Here is a 22,214-nt window from a genome sequence, read left to right as displayed (position 1 = left end):
GAATCGCTTGAACCTGGAAGGCAGAGATTGCGGTGAGCCGAGATCGTGCCATTGCACTCCAGCCTGGGCAACAAGAGCCGATCTCCACCTCAAAAAAAAAAAAAAAAAGTAGTTTTGGGAGTAGTAGTTAATATTACGTTTTGGCCAGTTTTGGGATGCCGGGTGGGGTGGCTCAGCCTGTAATCCCAACACTTTAGGAGGCTGAGGCAGGAGGATTGTTTGAGGCCAGGAGTTGAAGACTAGCCTGGTATGGTGAGACCCCATCTCTGCAAAAAAAAAAAAAAAGTTTTAATTAGCCGGGTGTGGTGGCAGTCACCTGTGGTCCTAGCTACTCAGGAGACTAAGGTGGGAGGATCACATGAGCCTGGGAGGTCGAGGCTGTTGTGCGCTGTAATTGTGCCACTGCACTCCAGGCTTCCAGCCTGGGCCACAGAATAAGATCTTGTCAAAAAATATGTATATATATGTTTTAAGTAGGGGAACAAAAACATGAAGGTAAACATGCTGTTTTTGCAATAGTTATACAAATATAGAAAAATTACAAAGTCTTTACTTTTCAAGGAGATAGAGATCTGGTAGCAACTGATATGTCCTATTTAAACTCATCTCAAACAGCAACCATAGGTAATATACTCAAATTCCCTCTCAAAAATATTATGCTCTGTGCAACAATGGCAGGGAATTTTTTTAAAAAAAAATTATTTAAAAAAAGATGATTCTCAAGGGTCCAAGACTCAGTGCTCTAATCATTTTGTTCCAGAATCAGACATGGCGGTGCCTCCTTTGCCATTTGAGAAAAGTGATAAACCTTTTTACAACCTGAGAAAAATGGTGTTTACCTTTTGGTGTATTCCTCATCACAAATATTTAAGGATATATTAATAAAGTGAAAATGTTGAAATAGTATTTTAAACATTTCAGGGTGTACAAAGTTTTTTTTGTTTTTGTTTTTTGTTTTTCACACTCTGTCACCCAGGCTGGAGTACAATGGTGCAATCTCGGCTCACTGCAATTTCCGCCTCCCAGGTTCAAGCGATTCTCCTGCCTCAGCCTCTCGAATAGCTGGGATTACAGGCACTGGCCACTACGCCTGGCTAATTTTTCTATTTCTAGTAGAGACGAGGTTTCACCATGTTGGTCAGGCTGATGTCGAACTCCTGACTTCTGGTGATCCACCCACCTCAGCTTCCCAAAGTGCTGGGATTATAGGCATGAGCCACAGTGCCCAGCCCAAATTGGAGGATATTAGGGCTTGTTTTCAGTTTTTTGTCTAATGAATGCTTAAATGCATTCATTTATAGAATCAATGTATCACCTGAGAACCTTGAAATATATGTCAATTCTTCAGAACTTTTTTTTTTTTTTTTTTGAGACAGAGTCTCACTCTGTCACCCAGGGTGGAGTGCAGTGGCGCGATCCCGGCTCACTGCAACTTCCACCTCCCGGGTTCAAGCGATTCTCTTGCCTCAGCCTCCCAAGTAGCTGGGACTACAGGCGTGTGCCACCACACCCGGCTAATTTTTGTATTTTTAGTAGAGATGGGGTTTCACTGTGTTAGCCAGGCTGGTCTCGATCTCCTGACCTCGTGATCTGCCTGCCTCGGCCTCCCAAAGTGCTGGGATTACAGGCGTGAGCCACTGCACCCGGCCAATTCTCAGAATTTTTATTCTAGATTGTTGCCCTTAATAGTTCATTCTTTGGGTGATTCTTTCAAATTGTATGTATATGTTGGGGATTAGAAAAGGATACCCCAAAGTATGGTGCTTGGGCATGCTGAGTTCTTAGACTTAAAGGAAACTGGAAGGCTCTTAGAAGCGGCCTCAAAATTAGGGTCTCTCTGGCCTTCCCTTGTTTCTCCCCTCCAAGAGCAAGTGCAGGGAGGGGCTGTATCTGAAGTTCCCCATACATGACTGAAGGAAGTTCTTCCAAAATGAATGCAATTGTCTTGAACTTTTTTCCTAGGAATCTCATCAAACAACCAGAGAAAATTAATCACTGAGAGAAGAGGAGATTAAAAGTCACCATGGCCAGGCACGGTGGCTCACGCCTATAATCTCAGCACTTTGGGAGGCCGAGGCGGGTGGATCACCTGAGGTCAGGAGTTCGAGACCGGCCTGGCCAACATAGTGAAACGCTATCTCTACAAAAAGTATAAAAAAATAGTGGGGCATGGTGGCACATGCCTGTAATCCCAGCTACTTTGGAGGTTGAGGCAGCAGAATTGCTTGAAGCTAGGAGGCAGAGGTTACAGTGAGCTGAGATTGTGCCATTGCACTCCAGCCTGGGCAACAAGAGTGAAACTCTGTCTCAAAAAAATAAAAAATAAAAAATAAAAAAATTCTCCACTTTGGTGCTTGGAATGAAAATAAATCTCAGGACCCCAGAACCACTAAGACAAAGGGAAAAGTCAAGCTGGGAAATGCGTCAGGCAAACCTGCCTCCTATTTTAATCCCAAATAAGATAACTACAAAGATGAAAAAGCTACATACCTCCCTCACAGTTTTCCCACAAAAAAATTCCTTGTGGGCCTCAAGATCTTTACCCTAAAACAGTTCTGTTGAATTTTATCCTGGCAATGTAAATTGATAGCTTATCTTCACAGATGTGAGACAGAAAGTCATCCCTCTGCTCACCTGGGACAAATGCATATCTGATTGCTTCCTCTGCCCTATTGTTTATGTAAAAATGCAGTTTCCCTGAGTGAGACTAAGGCATAAATGACAATTTGCTGCCCCCAGGTAAATTGTGTATTCAGTGAATTGAGTCCTTGATCAAGGACTCAAAAGAATGCAACTGTTTGTCTCTTATCTACCTATGACCTGGAAACCCCCTCCGCTCAACTCCTTCAAGTTGTCCCTTTCCAGACCAAACCAATGTACATCTTACACATATTGATTAATGTCTCATGTCTACCTAAAATGTATAAAAGCAAGCTGTACCCTGACCACTTTGGGCACATGTCATCAGGACCTTCTGAGGCTGTGTCACAGGCATTTTCTGAACCTTGGCAAAATAAGCTTTCTAAGTTGATTGAGACCTGTCTCAGATATTTCAGGTTCACAGGTGGTATGTACACTGTGTAGGGCAGGGGGTGAGGGGGTAGGGGGAGGAGTGGAGGAATGCAGACCAGGAAAAAGTTGCACAGTATCTCTCTATACTAGAAACCCCTCTCCTGCTACACTAAAAAGGGGTACTTGTCACAAGATAGAGCTGTCAAACTTCACTATTTTGGCATCTCCTCTCTGTAGGATACAGTTAGGAGAGTCTCTGGGAGTGATTTTGGAGTCTACCCAGAATGAGTGATCTCCAAGAAATAATCAAGGCTTGGCAAGACACAAAGAAAAAAATAAAATAATGTGGAAATAGGGGTCAGTTGCCACAAAGATGCCCAGAAAGTCACACTAAAGCTCCCTCTCATCACTGTGGAGTAATTAGCGTCATATAGAAAGCCAAGTATTAGTCAGGATTCTCCGAGAAACCAGACGAATAGCAAATAGATAGACAGGTAGATAGATAGATAGATACTAGATATATGAGAGTAGATTTATTCTGAAAATTAGCTTGTGAGGTTACAAAGGTCAAGAAGTCCCATGATCTGCTGTCTGCAAGCTGGAGAGCCTGTAAAACCAGTGGTGTAATTCAGTCTGAGTCCAATGTCCTAGGACAAGAAGGGAGGCTCTAGTGTAATCCTACAGTCTGAAGATCCCAAAGCCAGGAGCTCCAATGACAGGAGAACATGCATGTCCCAACTCAAGAAGACAGAGCATTATCCCTTCCTTCACTTTTTGTTCTTTTCAGGCCTTTAATGGATTGAATGATGTCCAGGCACACTGGTGAGGGTGGATCTGCTTTACTCAGTCTGCTGATTGAAATGCTAATCTCTTTCAAAAACACTCTCACAGACATCCAGAAATGACATTTTATCAGCTTTTTTGGGTGTTCCTTACCCCAATCAAGTTAACACACATAATTTGCCATCACAGACCGTAAGAACACTAAATCCACTACACCTTTCTCTCTCCAGAAGGAAGGTGAGGCTGGTGATCGGAAAAGATAGGGTTAGTGGAAGGATATGGTCCTAAGGCTAATTATTTCTGACAACCTCATGTTAGAGTAGGCACTAGGCAGACATGAGCATGGCATGTCTGCCTAGCTGCCCCAATCCCCTGCCCCAAGAATGTCAGGTCACCAGCAGGTGATGATCAGGGAGTTGTTAAACTGTCTCTCTGGAATAATAATTGGTCAGCTGGGCGCTGTGGCTCACGCCTGTAATCCCAGCACTTTGGGAGGCCGAGGCAGACAGATCACCAGGTCAGGAGATCGAGACCATCCTGGCTAACACGGTGAAACCCCGTCTCTACTAAAAATACAAAAACTAAATTAGCAGGGTGTGGTGGCAGGTGCCTGTAGTCCCAGCTACTTGGGAGGCTGAGGCGAGAGAATGGCCTGAACCCGGGAGGCAGAGCTTGCAGTGAGCCGAGATCACGCCACTGCACTCCAGCCTGGGCGACAGAGCGAGACTCTGTCTCAAAAAAATAAATAAATAAACAAATAATAAATAAAATAAAATAATAATTAGTCATAGCCAGCACCAGGGAAAGGCAGTCTCCCAGTAGAGGCAGTCTCCCAATAGATAGAAAACATTTGGTGTTGGTGATCAGCAGCTTCCCAGTAAGGTCTCGGGAGCTGGGCGAGGGGGTCAAGCATGTGCACTAAGAGGCAAAATGATGGCGTTTAACCAGTGTCTGACCTTCCTCTAGGAACACTAGAAACACTAGACTGCTAAGAGAAAACACCTCAAATGAGCATGTGCACAACTTCAGTAAACACACAATGCATGTGGCCCCTCCCAAGGGCTGGCAGGCCACTGAGCATGCAGATAGCCCACCTTAAGGGAAAAATCAAAAGAGGAGAAACAGAAACCCCGGAACCATGCCAATGTATAAAACCCCAAGGCAAGGGCCAAAGAGCACACGGATCTCTCAAGTTGCATGCTTGGCCTTCTTCCAAGCTCTAAAACTTGCCTTGGTCTCTTACTCTACCTTATGCCCCTCGGACAAATTATTTCCTGCTTGGAGGCAATAACTGAGTTACTGCAGACCCGTATGGAATCACCACTCCAAACACTCAGACCAACAATTTCACCTAAGCTAGAAGAACAATTTAAAACTGGCAAGTTAGAGTTCTTCCGGTATGACAGTCACTTTGAAATGGCTAAACCAGCTCTACTAGAAGTACATAAGGCATTCACTAAAGATTATAAAGTAGTTCATAGAACACCTGAGTAAGCCAGAACACCAGGCTTGTAGACTATACAGCTAGAAACAACACCCAAAATCACACTACAGAACTGCTCACACTGTTGCCACTACAAGGCAATAGTTCATGGCTTTTACAGGAAAATGAACATATTGGCTACTACCACCACCAGAATGGATGCCTTGTACTGTCTGCTTCTTTATGTCCACAATTTCATTTCTTTTCTTTCTTCCTTCCTTTCTTTCCTTTCCTCCCTTCTTTCGTTTCCTTCCTTCTTTCTTTTCTTTTTTTTTTTTTTTAGATGGAGTCTCACTCTGTTGCCCCAGGCTGGAGGCGCAGTCTCAGCTCACTGCAACCTCCACCTCGCGGGTTCAAGAGAGATTCTCCTGTCTCAGCCTCCCGAGTAGCTGGGACTACAGGCGTGAGCCACTACACCCAGCTAATTTTGTATTTTTAGTAGAGATGGGGTTTCACTATGTTGGCCAGGCTGGTCTCAAATTCCAAACCTCAGGTGATCCACCTGCCTTGGTGGCTGGGATTACAGGCATGAGCCACTGCGTCCGGCCTATGTCCACAATTTCTGAATCAAAACCTGATGTGGATGAACTTGGTTGGTGAATTCTTTGTCATATGCTTATGCTCTGGATGCAAAGAAAATGAGTTCAAAGACAAATGAAGGGGGCTTTGTGCTGTGGCTCACGCCTGTAATCCCAACACTTTGGGAGGCTGAGGAGGAAGGATCACTTGAGGACAGGAGTTTGGGATCAGCATGGGCATCCTACTGAGACCCCGTCTCTACAAAAAATTTTAAAAATTACCCAGGTGTGGTGTCATGCACCTATAGTTTCAGCTACTGGGGAAGCTGAGGTGAGAGGATGGCTTGAGTCCAGGAGTTCGAGGCTCCAGTGAGCTATCATCACACCATTGCACTCCAGCCTGGGTGACAGGGAGACCTTGTCTTAAGAAAAGAAAAAAAAAAAAGACAAGTGAAGGGGATCAAAATATGGCATCTCAAAATATGCTACTATAGCATAAGAATTATTTTTAGCTGAAGGCAACTGAGTGAAACACCAGATGCCAGAAATGCTCTCTACCTTCCCCCTTTCTGTCTAAGAGCAGAGCATAAATTTACTTTTGTGAAGGTCTTCCCTCTCCCCTCTCACATACTGGGAAGAGGAGACAACTGTTATCATTGGAAATGCATCATCTACAATCTGCTTAAACAAACCTTATTTCCATTAACATCTTCCCCCCATCTGTATATTTACCTTACCTTACCTAAAAGCCTAAATGCTTTTCATTTGTCTTGTCAGTTCTCCAGAATTTATCACCCTTTGTTAAATAGTGCATAAGTTCTCAAGCCTAAACACTTCTTTGGGTTTTTACTTTCTTTTCTGTGAGATCCCTGTGTACACATTAAAATTAAAATAATAGCATCAAACAAAGTTTGTATGCCTTTTCTCCTATTATTGTTTTTTGTCAGTTTAATTTCCAAGACTCCACTCACTAAACCTAAGAAAGTCAAGGAAAAAGTTTTATTTCCCCCTATAGAAGATAACAGAATTGAGTGAAAGCAGAGATTGAAGAGCAAAGAAAAGAGTGTGCTATAACAGTAGCAGAATTAACAAATTAGAAACAGCAAGTAAAGGAGTTTGTGGTCCTTCCCCAAAAAACCGAGTGGCAAGAAAAGGTTAGTGAAAATTTCAAATAATTCAAAGAAAAAAGACAAACATATAAAAAGTTATAAATTTTATTGAAAGATAATGGATAACTAAGCAAAATCAGGTAACGTGTGTCTGAAGTTGAGAATAACTTCAGTGGAAAAGGAAATAAAACTTCAATAGAAATATTTGTAAATATTTATAAAGAAAGCCATGTTCCATGAAAAACAAGTACTTTCAATCCATCAAAACCGATACCTTGGCTGGGCTCTGTGGCTCATGCCTGTAATCCTAGCACTTTGAGAGGATGAGGTAGGCAGATCGCTTGACGCCAGGAGTTCAAGACCAGTCTGGCCAACATGGCGAAACCCAGTCTCTACTAAAAATACAGAAATTAGCTGGATGTGGTGGCACACGCCTGTAGTCCAGCTACTCAGGAGGCTGAGGCACAAGAACCTCTTGAACAGGGGAGGTGGTGGCTGCGGTGAGCCGAGATTCCCCCACGACATTCCAGCCTGTGTGACACAGTGAGACTCTGTCTCAGACAAACAAACAAACAAACAAAAACAAAACTGAGATACCTTTTAGGTCACCCCAGAATTTAGAAAAAACAAATAGATAAACAAAATGGAGACACATCCTCATGGTTACCAAACTTCTAAATGTAATTGCCCAAAAGGTTCGTCCTGCCAGCTGCCCAGGTGGAGCTGATTTATCAAGACGGGGAATGGCAATGGAGAAAGAGTTTAATACACATAAAGCCAGCTAAATGGGAGATTGGAGTTTTACTGTTACTCAAATCAGGCCCCCTGAAAATTCAGAAGCTACGGCTTTTAAATGATAGTTAAAAATTAAATTCCTCCCAAAGTTAGTTCCACCTACACCCAGGAATAATAAGGGCAGCTTGGAGGCAAAGGCCAAGATGGAGTCAGGTCAGATCTCTTTTATGGTCATACTTTTCCCACTGTTATAATCTTTGCAAAAGTGGTTTCAAAAATACAGAAAGAGGCCAGGCGCTGTAATCTCAGCACTTTGGGAAGGCAAGGCGGGCAGATCACCTGAGGTTAGGAGTTCGAGACCAGCCTGGTCAAAATGCTGAAAGCCCATCTCTACTAAAAATACAGAAAATACCCAGGCATAGTGGCGGGCACCTGTAATCCCTGCTACTTGGGAGGCTGAGGCAGGAGAATAGCTTGAACCCGGGGGGCGGAGGTTGCAGTGAGCCAAGATCGCGCCACTGCACTCCAGCCTGGGTGACAAGAGTGAGACTTCCTCTAAAAAAAGAAAAGAAAAAATACATTATTATTTACTAGATATTATTCAAATATAATAAAGGAGTGCAAATGGTGCTATGAAAAAGCATCTCTCACCTAGATTGAGGGCAAAGTGATACATTATTTGAAATCTGAATTAGTAGGACTTAGCTAGAAGAAGGGATGAAATTATTATTGCATGCAGAGAAAGCAGTATCTATGAAGTCATGGAAACATAAAGTACCCTGAGGGCTTTCAGAAAGGAATGATAGTCCTAATGTGCAAGCAACTAAAAGCTGCTCTGGCGGATTTTAGTGGAAATGAATAATCTGTGCCTGTCCTGATTCTTAAGCAATTTAAAGTAGATTTTCCAAACTTAGTACAACAAAAAGTGTTGGATTATTTCAAGAATCCAAATTACCATTTTGAGGAGTGTATTTGTGGCTTGTGGACATTATTATGTTATTCAGTATTTAGAACAAATGTGGTGGAGAGAAACTCCATCATTTTAGTCTCTGATATAGATTACTGATTTTAACAATTTATGTGAGCCACTCAGATGTTATCTTTGGGTGTTCAATTTTGCAGGCAGCTCAATTCCGATTCTAACGCATAAATTGAGACCAGGAGGATTGGTCACTTTACATTTAGGTAGAATCTTTATCAGGGCTTGCTGTGTTGTTTTCTTTGTTCTATATTTGCTGACTTTGATTTCTCAGGCTTCAGGTAAATTTTCTACCTCCTGCGGTATTTACAAACTCATTACATTCTGATTGTCTCTTTCTTTCTTTTTTTTTCTTTCTTTCAACAGGGTCTCAGCTCTGTCACCCAGGGGCGTGACCATAGCTCACTGCAACCTTAAACTCCTAGACTAAAATGATTCTACCTTGGCCTGAAATTACAGGCTTGAGCCACCGTGCCCAGCCTGGTTGTATTTCTTTAGCTGTGCTTCATTCAAGAAACTGTTACTTAGCAGAGACCAGGGTTCATACTCTGCAAGGCTCTGAGATACAATATTAAATAAGATATGATGCCTGCTATCAGGGAGCTTACAGTCCATTAAATAAGCATCATAAAATCGATAATTATAATGTGGTTTCTTTAGGCCTACAATGACTAAATTAGTGGGGACTCCTTAGGTTGCAGGTGACTGAGATTTGATACAAATTAGTTTATCAGAAAGAGACATTTATTAGCTGGTTTATATTGCCACTAATTCTTGTATTGGTAGATCTTCAAAGATTCCCACAGCTGAATTTCGTGTATCATCAACAGTTCAGATAGCACAGCAGTTTCATTTCCATCTGTTATGAGGAATTTTAATTTTAGAATTCCTTACGTTTGGTGATAATTTTGGTGCTGTGTATTTAGTTTTGGTTTTCAGTAGGAAGCAGTGAAGCCAGCTTGCTTCTGCCATTTTGGAACCAGAGTGTATTTCTAGCATTTCCTACTTTTGCTACCAGTACATTCCTGTATTCTGAGAAGGTGGGCTAAAATGGGTGCTTATCGATTTGAATAATTTCCAGTTTTAGGTTTTGGCATCTAATAAACGCACCCTTCGGCAGGGCGCGGTGGTTGACGCCTGTAGTCCCAGCACTTTGGGAGGGCGAGGCGGGCAGATCACTTGAGATCAGGAGTTCCAAACCAGTCTGGCCAACATGGCGAAACCTTGTCTCTACCCTAAAACACAAAAATTAGCCGGGCTTGGTGGTGCAGGCCTGTAGTCCCATCTACTCGGGAGGCTGAGGCGGGAAAAAATCGCTTGAACCCGGAAGGCGGAGGTTGTATAGAGCCGAGATGGCGCCACTGCACTCCAGCCTGGGTGACGTGAGCGAGACTTTGTCTCAAAAAAACATAAAAATAAGACACAAGAAGTGTAGGTAAACACCAGAACCCAAAGGGCAGTCTGTTAGGCCCTGGTGAGATTTGAACTCACGACCCCTAGGTTTACGAGACCAGCGCTCCAACCGCTGAGCTACAGGGCCACGATAGAATTGAACTTAATTCCTCTTACTAAAGCTATTTTCACTCTCGACCCAGTTTTGTTGCTGATTTTTCATTTTTCTCCCTCTTCCGATTTTCTGGCTTATGGTCAAACAACACAGATCCCTGCATTCTCTAATAATTTTAGCCTCCCCTCCAATTAGCTTTCGGCCATTGTTAGCCACGCCCCACTGTCTGCAGTACTTTTCACTCTGCTTAATGCCCAGGTATTCTGAACTTCAGTTCTTAGCGCCTTGGGGGAAAAGTGCCTTCATCTGTCTCAAATTCCCCCAAATCATAAATCAAAAGAGCCACACTGACAGGTGAGGGTAAGGGTGAGACAGTAAAGAAAGGGGCAGTGAAGCACCTCCCGGGGACAGAAGCCCAAGAGAGGCTCCGCCTGCTCCAGTCGTCTTTAAGATTGTATCATTTTGGATCCTCCACCCAGGGAGTAAATCCTTGCCATGTTTCTACTTCTCCACTGAGCGACACCGAAATCCAAATAAAAGAGCTCCATCCAACGGCGCTGTAGCAAAGAAACCAGAAATTTGTTCTCTTCCACAAGGGGAAAGGGGCCGGGAGGGGCATGAGAAAAGCTATTTGAGATTCGGCTCGGACAAGCAGACCGGGGTAGAAAAGTAAACTAAACCATAAATCTGAAGTCTCCTGTCCCAAGTCGGGGGCCCTGTGCTCATAAAGAAACAATATCCCTTAAAAAAATAAAATAAATAAAAACTTAAAAAGTCCTCGACTACTGACAAATACAAGTAACATTAAAACAACTCAGAAAAAAATGCGAGCCACTGGTTGGGAAGCGGGGAATCCAGGCTCTATGCGCCTGTCTTATCCCGAGGACGCAGCTCTCCCTTCCAGAAGACAGGCTGTGAAATCTGCTGTTTAAGAGCAATCCAGCCAGCTGTCCCAAAGGTCTTAAAGGGTAAAACAATCACATATTCCGCATCCCCACCTTCATCCCCCAAAGTCATACCGGCAAAACAATGCCCGTGTGACCGGAAGTGGTATAAACGCAAACAATAGGAAAACAAAACAAGAAATGGAAGGGCATATTAACGCGGCAGAGAGTGAGAGCGGAGAGAATGCAAGGTCAATTTTATCACTGTTCTCCATCCTGAACTTCTTAGAATCAATGGTTCGCCTCCCAGAGGAGCCAGTTGTTTGTTTCTATTTTCCAAAATCCTAAACTTGCCTGGGTAGAAGGGACCCTTTCTCCTGAAGCTCCTTGTCATCACCCGAGTACCAGAGAAGAGGGGGATGCAGGTCCAAGAAGGATCGTGAAGTCCCAACAAGCCTGTGCAGGGCAGTTTTTGAGAATGTCGTTTTATGTTTAGGTACAGTGTTCGCCTCCTGATTTCTAGTGCCTAAAGAAAAGTATAACCTCAGTGAAACACAGGTCTATTATGTTCAGAGGAATCGCTTGAACCTAATTTTTTTTTTGGTGTGTTTTTTTAATGCTCTTAAGGTATCTCAGTAGGCTCTTTTTCTTTCCTTGTCTGCTGAGATTAAGACTTCTGATTCTTAAAGGTATTCATTTAATACAGTATTCAGTAAAGCATGAGCAATCATGGGAAAGGTACTGTGGATGTCACTTCTTTATCTCAAGGAGTACACAGTAGTTAAGAGTAGGCAGGGCATGCATTCAAATCTCTACCACATAAGGCACTTGTGACACAATAGTTAACCTGCAAACACACTATTATATCGCAAGTGTTTTGGCAGCTACGCGAGGGCCTGCAAGGACTGAAATTCTGGAAAAGTACCAGCCTTAATATCTCTTACTTCTCACTTCATTTTCCACAAGTCAGCAGAGGCTTGCACCAGGGAACTTACATGGAGGGTGTCTGGAGCCAAAAGATAAAACAGACCTTCAGTTCTTGATAAAATTAGGTATGGCCTCTTTTACAGAGCTTTTCTCAACTTGGGCTCCTTCAGAATTAGAGAAGACTCATAAGTTAGGGGGTGGAGGGAAGGGGACAGTGGTGAGAAAACAGAGACATAAAGGAAAAATAATAAAGATGAAAGGGAGAATGCTGAAGGGGCGGGAATTAGGAGTGGATAGGTAGCCTGTTCCTATACACATTTCCTCTACCAAATTTGTTAGCCACATTCCCAAAGATGCCCTGACTCCACTGCCATCTCCCAGGCTCAAGTCTCTGGCTGTGAATCTGGATTTTAGAAAATAGGTAATGAACCACTTTTCAACTTATGAACACCACATTATATACTATATACTATATATAGGTATATGTAGGTACATATATGTGTATGTGTATAGGTATATATTGTATATGGAGCTTGTGCCAGAAGGCAAATCAACTATATCACTAATCATCTTTAGTTCCATTGACTCACTGATTGTAGGAAGAGTTCCTCAGTAAAGGCAGCAGTGCATTTAATTATACTTTGGTGCAAGCTTATCTTACCATACCATATCCATATGGAATATCATGCAGCTCTTACAGGTTTTTAGAAGAAACCGGCATTTAATAATACAGAGAAAGTTCATGAACTACCATTGAGTGAACAAAGCAGAGGACAAAACTTTATGAATGATCACAATTTCATTCTCAGTGTATTTGCAGAGCAAAATCTTAGAAGGAAATAAATCAGCATACTGATGGCTATTGGTTGACTTTTGAATTTATCTATAAGTCAAATGATTATATTGCAATACTTTCTAAATTATAAAAAAATATGCAAAAGTAATATTTCTTTGTATTTGGTTTAACCTTCAAATAAATGTGATTTGAGGAGCTGAATAATTCAGGATTTAGTAAATGTAGGATCTGTCCCTTTGACTCTGTGACACTAAATTAAACAATTAACTTTATTGTTTTTATTGTTATTAATTTCTACTTCCGGTAGGAAGCAGTGGCTCACGCTTATAACCCCAACACTTTGGGAGGCCAAGGCGGGAGGATCACCTGAGGTCAGGAGTTCGAGACCAGCCTGGCCAACATGGTGAAACCCTGTCTCTACTGAAAATACAAAAAATGGCCGGGTGGTGGCTCATGCCTGTAATCCTAGCACTTTGGGAGGCCGAGGCGAGCGGATCACGAGGTCAAGAGATGGAGACCATCCTGGCCAACATGGTGAAACCTCGTCTCTACTAAAATACAAAAATTAGCTGGGTATGGTGGCGCGTGCCTGTAATCCCGGCTACTCGGGAGACTGAGGCAGGAGAATCGCTTGAACTCGGGAGGCGGAGGTTGCAGTGAGCTGAGATTGCCACTGCACTCCAGCCTGGGGACAGAGCGAGACTCCGTCTCAAAAAAAAAAAAAAAAAAAAAAATACAAAAAATTAGCCGGACGCGGTGGCGTGCTCCTGTAATCCTAGCTACTCAGCAGGCTGTGACAGAATTGCTTGAACCTGGGAGGCAGAGGTTGCAGTGAGCTGAGATTACACCATTGCACTCCAGTCTGGGTGACAAGAGTGAAACTCCATCTTAAAAAAAAAAAATCCTACTTCTATTGTAGTATATACCTTTGCCTAATTAGAATGTTTTAATGAATGTTTTCAGAGCACCCGTTATATTGATTTCTAATTTCAGAGTTATCTTTAAGAGGGAAAATCACAAATGCAGGGAAGTTACTATTCAGGCCGTGGACCTTGATGCTCTTATAGACTCCATCTTTCTTTTTTTTTTTTTTTTTTTTGAGACGGAGTCTCGCTCTGTCGTCCAGGCTGGAGTACAGCGGCGCGATCTCAGCTCACTGCAAGCTCCGCCTCCCGGGTTCACGCCATTCCCCTGCCTCAGCCTCCCGAGTAGCTGGGACTATAGGCGCTCGCCACCACGCCCCTCTAATTTTTTGTATTTTTTAGTAGAGACAGGGTTTCACTGTGTTAGCCAGGATGATCTCGATCTCCTGATCTCGTGATCCGCCCGCCTCGGCCTTCCAAAGTGCTGGGATTACAGGCGTGAGCCACCGCGCCCGGCCTAGGCTCCATCTTTGAAGCGCCTCCCCACACTGCGGTCAGGAGAGTAAGGATCAGAAGTGGGCTTGGGTAAATCTGGTTATATTCATCAGGTGGATTGAGGAAAGATTATTGGAGGGCTTCTTTATAGAATTAAGGGAACCAAGAAGATGTGAGGAAATCTTCAGGGATCAGAACAGTGGGAATCTTCACTATTCCTAGGCATTAAGGGAAAAGAGAAGGGGCAGAATTGCCAGAATTTGGCAAGAGTTCCAGCAACGGGAGAGGAACCACCCACTAGGAGCTGTGCCCATGGGAGGAACACAGGCTGTCAGGGAGCAAGTAGGAGAAATACTGTACATGCATCTGCCTCTCTTCTTTGTGCCCTCTTATCTCCTGCTGCTGTCTTCCATTGGCTGAATCCAAACGGGAGCCAGGGGCCAAGTGATTTCTTTCCAGGGAGAAGAAAGGCAGATAATGGATCTGGAAGTGCAAATGCAGAATAATCTGCATTATCTGATTGTTCTTATAATTATAGTGATATCTTCCAGGAGTTTGTTGGGTGATGAATTTCTGTACTTTTTTTTTTTTTTTTTTTTTGAGACAGAATCTTGCTCTGTTGCCCAGGCTGGAATGCAGTGGGGCGATCTCTGCCCACTGCAACCTTTGCCTCCCGGATTCAAGCGGTTCTCTTGCCTCAGCCTCCAGTGTAGCTGGGATTACAGGTGCCCACCACCATGCCCAGCTAATTTTTGTATTTTTAGTAGAGACAGGGTTTCGTCATGTTGGCCAGGCTGTCTCGAGCTCCTGACGTCAGGTGATCTACCCGCCTCAGCCTCCCAAATTGCTGGGATTACAGGCGTAAACCACCGCACCCGACCGATGCTTCATAAACTTTGAATGATAGGATAAGTTGAAGCCTGAGTAGCTGATAAAAAATAATATTTACCTCAAGATATTTTTTATTTTCTCACATTGGGAGCACCACCACTGCAAGGAAGAGTATGAATAGGTTTGCCATAAACTGCTATGACGGAGGAAGTCTAGGTTCTTCCCAATAGATGCATCTCAGTGAGACTAGTATATAGAAGGCTCACCTTCTGTCAAAAAAGGGTGAGGAGGCATCTGGCCTGGGGAAGAATGCGATGCAGCTTCTGGCTTTAAGCAATAGCTTGGTTCATTCTAAATAGCCTGATAAGGCTGCAGTGATATTTTCTGGCTTTGTTATCCCAGTTTGTTTTTCTTGGAGACTTCATGAACTATATAAATAATATTTCATAAATATTTTTCTAATTATACCAATAGAATGAATTCTCTTTTAAAAATACATATGCTGGGACAGGCACAGTGACTCACGCTTGTAATCCCAGCACTTTGGGAGGCCAAGGAGGGTGGATCACGAGGTCAAGAGATGGAGACCATCCTGGCCAACATGGTGAAACCCTGTCCCTACTAAAAATACAAAAATTAGCTGGGCGTGGTGGCATGCACCTGTAGTCCTAGCCACTCGGGAGGCTGAGGGAGGAGAATTGCTTGAACCCGGGAGGCAGAGGCTGCAGTGAGCCACGATCTCGCCACTGTACTTCAGCCTGGCAACTGAGCGAGACTCCGTCCTAAAAAAAAAAAAAATGTTGACTTCCATACAAGTGTTGGAATATCCCTCTAATACTAGTGGTGTGCAAAACTGTGCAGGGAACACAAGTTACTGGTCTACAAAAAGACAAGCTTGCACCAAAGTATAATTAAATGCACTGCTGCCTTCACTAAGAAACTATTCCTACTATAATCAGTCAATGGAAATAAAGATGCTTAGTGATATAGTTATTTGCCTTCTGGCATAAGCTCCATATCTTGAAACAGACCAGACTATTAACTAACATTTATAAATTAGCACTGGGTTGCAGACCACGCTTTGAGTGGCTGTGCTTTACAGTCTTATGCCTCATAGTTATTTACGCCAAAACAGAATGTATCCACTGACAATATCTACATACATTAGTACTACCTTGGATCAGTAGACAGCTAACTGGTTCTGTTGGACTAAGAGTTTACATAAAAAGCAAAAAGAAGATTCTGATTTTGTAAATTTTGGTGGCCAGTGCCTGATAAACAAGACTCAACTAAAATTCATAGCATTTGTCCTTACAGCTAATGCCTGATGAGGCTATTGTAATACTAACTGTGTTGACCTTTGAAATACCTAATAGGTAAAATTTTGTGGAACAAGTACTTTTGCCTCCTTCTTTGTAGGATGAAAAGGGGGCCGCAGGAGCCGAGGAGACATAGATGCATTTCTAGCCAGGCATAAATAACTGAAACTAGGGTGAGGCGTGGTGGCTCACACCTGTAATTGCAGCACTTTGGGAGATCCAGGCGGGAGGATCACTTGAGGCAAGGAGTTCAAGACCAGCCTGGCCACTATGGTGAAACCCTGTCTCTACTAAAAATACAAAAAATTAGCCAGGCTTAGTGGCAGGCACCTGTAAGGAGAATCGCTTGAACCCGGGAGGCAGAGGTTGCAGTGAGCCAAGATCTCACCATTGCACTCTAGCCTGGGCAACAAGAGTGAAACTCTGTCTCAAAAAAATACAAAAATACAAAAGTTAGCCAAGCATGGTGGCACATGCCTGTACTCCCAGCTACTCGAGAGGTTGAGGCTGGACAATTGCTTGAACCCAGGAGGCAGAGGTTGAAATGAGTGGAGATTGTGCCACTGTACTCCAGCCTGGGCAACAGAGTGAGACCCTGTCTCTAAATAAATAAATAAATAAATAAATAAATAAATAAATAAAATAACTGAAACTGGGTTCAAAGAGCTTGGAAAGTAAAGTGGTTAGGGAAGTTCATTGGCAAGAATGTCAGGGATTCTATAAATGAGGCATTTTATCTCAGTTCCAAGAAAAGTCAGAACAGAAGAGCAATTGGGCCATGAAGCTCACTTGTATGGGAAAGAGACTGTCTTTATAACCTGCTTAGGTAAATAAAGAGAAATAAGTACTTTACCATCCAAAGAGGAGGCTGATGGAGCCTCCAGCACATGATTATGGTGGAGGAAAGTATGCCTAGCTCTCTGCTTTCTGTAGATATCTAAACCCCAAATTTATATCCCACCCCACTCCAGGCCATGCTTGCATGTAAGGGGCAACTTGTACAGAATAGAGAAAAATTGTTAGCCCAAGCAGTCTGTAGTTGGTTCCGACTCCTCACACTTATATCACATAAACAACAAACATATGGAAAGACATGGAAGTTCTAATCATCCTCCAGAAGAACAACAAAGAACTCAAAGTTATCAGTGCATACAGAATGAAAGGTACAGAACAAAAGAATAGAGCAATAAAGTCATGCCCTTGGCTTCATCTTTAGACCATGTTTTGCTGACAATGCCTTGGGTCTGATGTTTTCCTAGAAGACTTTTTTTTTTTTTCCAGCTAATGTGCCGTGGCAGAAGCCTTTTCTTTTCTTCTCTCTTTCTCTCAGCAGAATCAAAGCCTTTTCTTAATTACAGCATTATCTGTCATCTTGACAGGCTGGTAATGAGAAGCAGTTTTATTTTTGAATATCCAACAAGTCCTAAAGTATTCTTTCTTTAGTTTATCTCCCTGCTCTCTTATTTTACTATAGGCAGCTAGAAAAAGCCAGGTGGCATCTTCAATATATTGCCTGGAAATAACCTTAGCTAAATAAGCAAAATCGTTAGGTATATTTTCTACTTTCCACATTTTCTTTCTTTCTTTCTTTTTTTTTTTTTTTTTTTTTGATATGGAGTCTCACTCTGTCACCTAGGCTGGAGTGCAGTGGCTTGATCTCGGCTCACTGCAAGCTTCACCTCCCGGGTTCATGCCATTCTCCTGCCTCAGCCTCCCAAGTAGCGGGGACTACAGGTGCCCGCCACCATGCCAGGCTAATTTTTTTTTGTATTTTTAGTACAGACGGGGTTTCACCATGTTAGCCAGGATGGTCTCGATCTCCTGACCTCGTGATCTGCCCACTTTGACCTCCCAAAGTGCTGGGACTACAGGCGTGAGCCACAGCTCCCAGCCTCTTTCTTTCTTTTTTCTTTTTCTTTCTTTCTTTCTTTCTTTCTTTCTTTCTTTCTTTCTTTCTTTCTTTCTTTCTTTCTTTCTTTTCTTTTTTCTTTCTTTCTTTCTTTCTTTAATTCATTAGGTATATTTTCTACTTTCCACTCTTTCTTTCTTTCAAATTCATTAGGTATATTTTCTACTTTCCACATTTTCTTTCTTTTCTTTTCTTTTTTTGAGACAGAGTTTCACTCTTGTTGCCCAGGCTGGAGTGCAATGGTGTGATCTTGGCTCACTGCAACCTCGCTCCTCACCCCCATCAGGTTCAAGCGATTCTCCTGCCTCAGCCTCCTGAGTAGCTGGGATTACAGGCATGTGACACCACACCCAGCTAATTTTGTATTTTTAGTAGAGACGGGGTTTCACCATGTTAACCAGGCTGGTCTCAAACTCCTGACCTTAGGTGATCCACCCACCTAGGCCTCCAAAAGTGCTGGGATTACAGGTGTGAGCCACCGCGTCCGGCCTACTTTCCACATTTTCACAACAGTGTTGCTAAACTTTCTGTCTCTAGATAACAAAAGTCCGGTTTCTTCCAGCTTCTAGTAACATTTTCCACACTCTCCATTAAGCATCACTGACTTTGGGACTTAGTGACAGGCAGCAGTTGTCTTCAGGTGTTTTTACTCATATTCTCCTCAAGGTCTTTTCAGTTTCCACTTGCTGTCAAGTCCCAAAGTCACATGGTTCAGAATTTATTAATTATGGCAGTATCCCATTTTTAAGTAAGAAAATCTGCATTTGCTTGTACCCATTCAGGATTTATTGCCTCTCAGCTCCAAATTCACCCTTTTTGCCTGCTTCGTGGAAATGAATCTTGAGTCCTTGGTTTTCTTTTGCCAATTGGCATTGAAGCTTTGTCAGTAGAGGGCAGTGGAGAGACATTGCGGAAGAAAGTGAGTTTTGCTTCTTTCTTCCCATGTATTACTTGGCCTGCTGCTTCCCCAGTGCCTAGCTCCTACATCACGCATGCCTTTCCCCTGCATCAGTCTCCTGCAGCACCCAGCAACAACTAATTTTCCCTGGCATCTTCTTTGAGTGTTTTGTAGTAGAGTGCCCTCAGTGAGAGACCTCTCCACGAAGAGCTTTTCAAGAAACCCTTGAAGATTAATTTCCAAAAAATTCCAGAGGACAGATTTCAAGCAAATTCTGCTGGCATAGCACCATGAGCATTTCTCTGCTATTCCGTGAGTCACAGCCATGCTCTCCCCAACAAGGTCTGGATCTTAGCCAGGGGTGGGGTGAGAGGTAGAGGGCACTTCTTTTAGTGCTTTGTTTCAGCCCCAGGTGAGGTCACTTCTATGTTCAAATAACTGTGTAATTTCTCTCTCCTGATTGCACCAAGACTGATACATACCTAACTATTGTTACATAACAAATCATACTAAAATGCAATGGCTTAACTTAAACAACAATTATCATTTATTCTCTCTCACAGATGTGTTGGTCAGGAATGTGAGCAGAAAACAGTGGGGACAGCTTGTCTCTGCTCCATGATTTCTTAGGACTCAACTGGAAGACTATAAGGCTGGTTGCTGAAGGCTGGGCATGGTGGCTCACACTTGTAATCCCAGCACTTTGGGAGGCCAAGGTGGAAGGATCCTTTAAGCCCAGAATTCAAGACCAGCCTGGCCAACATGGCAAAACCCCATCTCTTCAAAAATTTTTTAAAAATTAGCTGGGCATGGTGGTGCATGCCTGTAGTTCCAGCTACTCAGGAGACTAAGGTGGGAGAACTGCTTGAGCCCAGGAGGGTGAGGCTGCACTGAGCCATGTGCATACCATTGCACTCCAGCCTCGGTGACAGAGCAAGACCCTGTCCCAAAAAATGGAGGGAAGCTGGTGGCTAGAAATAATCTGAAGAATCATTCACTCACATGCCTGGCAGTTGCTGCTGGCTATGGACCGGAGGCCTTAATTTTTCTCCATGTGTTCTGCTCCTATGTCCTAGTTTAGGCCTTCTCAGAGCGCCATGACTGAGTTCTGAGGGCAGATGTCTTGAGAGAAAGCTGGTGGAAGCCTCTACCACGTTTTATGACCTAACATTGGAAGTCTTGGTGTATCACTTCCATCATGGTTACAGGCCTATCCAGATTCAAGGGAAGGGAATGTAGACCCCCACCCCTCAAGGAAATGTGTCAAAATTGTATTAAAATAAGACAACGTGTGATGAGATATGTTGGTGTGGCCATCTTTGGAAAATACCGTCTGTCTCAAGTATTTTTTTATGGCTGAACCCTAACCACTCAGAAGCCCCTATCACTTCAGATTCAATTTCTTCCTAACTTGTAAAGAAAGATTAGAGAAAATAAAATAAATATTAAGGAGGTTTTTAGAAAATATACTGCCCAGAAGTTCATGAAACATTGACTATACTGTGCCTCACAAGAAGCAGTGTATAAAAGACAATTGGATTAAGACATATTTCAGTTGCAATTTCAGATTCACATTACATTTTTATATTATTCACTGTCAGGTATCCCAATTTTTTTTTTTTTTTTTTTGACACGAAGTCTCGCTCTTGCTCCCCAGTCTGGAGTGCAATGGCACGATCTTGGCTCACTGCAACCTCCGCCTCCTGGGTTCAAGCGATTCTCCTGTCTCAGCCTCCCGAGTAGCTGGGATTACAGGTGCGTACCACCATGCCCAGCTAATTTTTTGTATTTTTTAAGTAGAGATGGGGATTCACCATGTTGGCCAGGCTGGTCTTGAACTCCTGACCTCAGGTGATCCACCCACCTCGGCCTCCCAAAGTGCTGGGATTACAGGCGTGAGCCACCCCACCCGGTCTATCTCAAATATTTTTAACCTACATTTAGAGGTTTTCATTTCCACAGAAAATGTATACATAGACTTCAACAGGAATAGGGAACTACTAGTGCAAATATTCAACATGTGCATATATTAAAATATATACTGCCAATTTTGCATATGATTGAATTGCACTTAGTATATAGGAAAAGTATAGTTGCATTGAAAAGATTAAAATCTACAAACAGTAATCCAATTTTAAAAAGAGATGTTTCCCGTTTAATTTTAGAGTAACAGATGAGGAAATTACAAATTTAAAAATGATAACTCTCCAGGCCAGGCGCGGTGGCTCACGCCTGTAATCCCAGCACTTTGGGAGGCCGAGGTGGGCGGATCTCTTGAGACCAGCCTGGCCAACGTGGTGAAGCCCCATCTCTACTAAAAATACAAAAATTAGCAGGGCATGGTGGCAGGCGCCTGTAATCCCAGCTACTCGGGAGGCTGAGGCAAGATAATTGCTTGAACCTGGGAGGCGGAAGTTGCGGTGAGCCGAGGTTGCGCCGCTGCACTCCAGCCTGGGCAATAGAGCGAGATTCTTCAAATTTGTGTACCATCCGTTTAGGCCCTTATAGTTTAATTATAGAAACTCAGTGGCACTCCTTGCTACTAGAATTTTAAATTGTTTCTCTCTTTCACAGTTCAATCCTAGAAAAACCATTGCAACAAGGTTCTTTTTCTTTTTCTTTCTTTTCTTTTTTTTTTTTTTTTGATGATTTCATTTTCACAGTCCTAGAAACGTATTTTTCAGTCATAAAATGTACACTCTTATCTTTAGAAATAACTGTTGCCGGCCGGGCGCGGCGGCTTACCCCTGTAATCCCAGCACTTTGGCAGGCCAAGGCGGGTGGATCACCTGAGGTCAGGAGTTCGAGACCAGCCTGGCCAACATGTTTAAACCCCGTCTCTACTTAAAATACAAAAAATTAGCTGGGCGTGGTGGTACGCACCTGTAATCCCAGCTACTCGGGAGGCTGAGGCAGGAGAATCGCTTGAACCCAGGAGGCGGAGGTTGCAGTGAGCCGAGATCGCGCCATTGCACTCCAGACTGGGGGACAAGAGCGAGACTTCGTCTCAAAAAAGAAATAGCTGTTGCCTCCCACAGTGGGTAATATTTGCAGAAAAGCATCTGAGAGCTCTAGAGAGAGGAGAGACAGGATTATCACTATAGAGCATAGGCGACCCTACAGGGCAGAAGACAGTGATGTTTACTGAACTGTGTAACGAAATGAA

At 43.2% G+C, this 22,214-nt stretch overlaps 1 non-coding gene across 1 annotated transcript, besides 1 other annotated feature; it reads right to left on the bottom strand.

The window, feature by feature from the left end:
* Nucleotides 3,509-3,558: an enhancer, noted in NCBI's record as "active region_24296". NCBI's record gives its function as "activates an Ori minimal core promoter by ATAC-STARR-seq in GM12878 lymphoblastoid cells {active_cell/tissue: GM12878}" and the evidence as "EXISTENCE:reporter gene assay evidence [ECO:0000049][PMID:35858748]".
* TRT-CGT5-1 (tRNA-Thr (anticodon CGT) 5-1) lies at nt 10,086-10,159 on the bottom strand. Its single transcript has one exon. It is a non-coding gene; the product is annotated as a tRNA-Thr (tRNA).
* Between the last annotated feature and the right edge of the window lie 12,055 nt (nt 10,160-22,214).

Source organism: Homo sapiens, chromosome 6 (assembly GCF_000001405.40).
Source record: "Homo sapiens chromosome 6, GRCh38.p14 Primary Assembly".
Classification (NCBI taxonomy): Eukaryota; Metazoa; Chordata; class Mammalia; order Primates; family Hominidae; genus Homo; species Homo sapiens.
The sequence above is the reverse complement of the archived record's forward strand: the minus strand, read 5'-3'. Positions and strand labels throughout refer to the sequence as shown.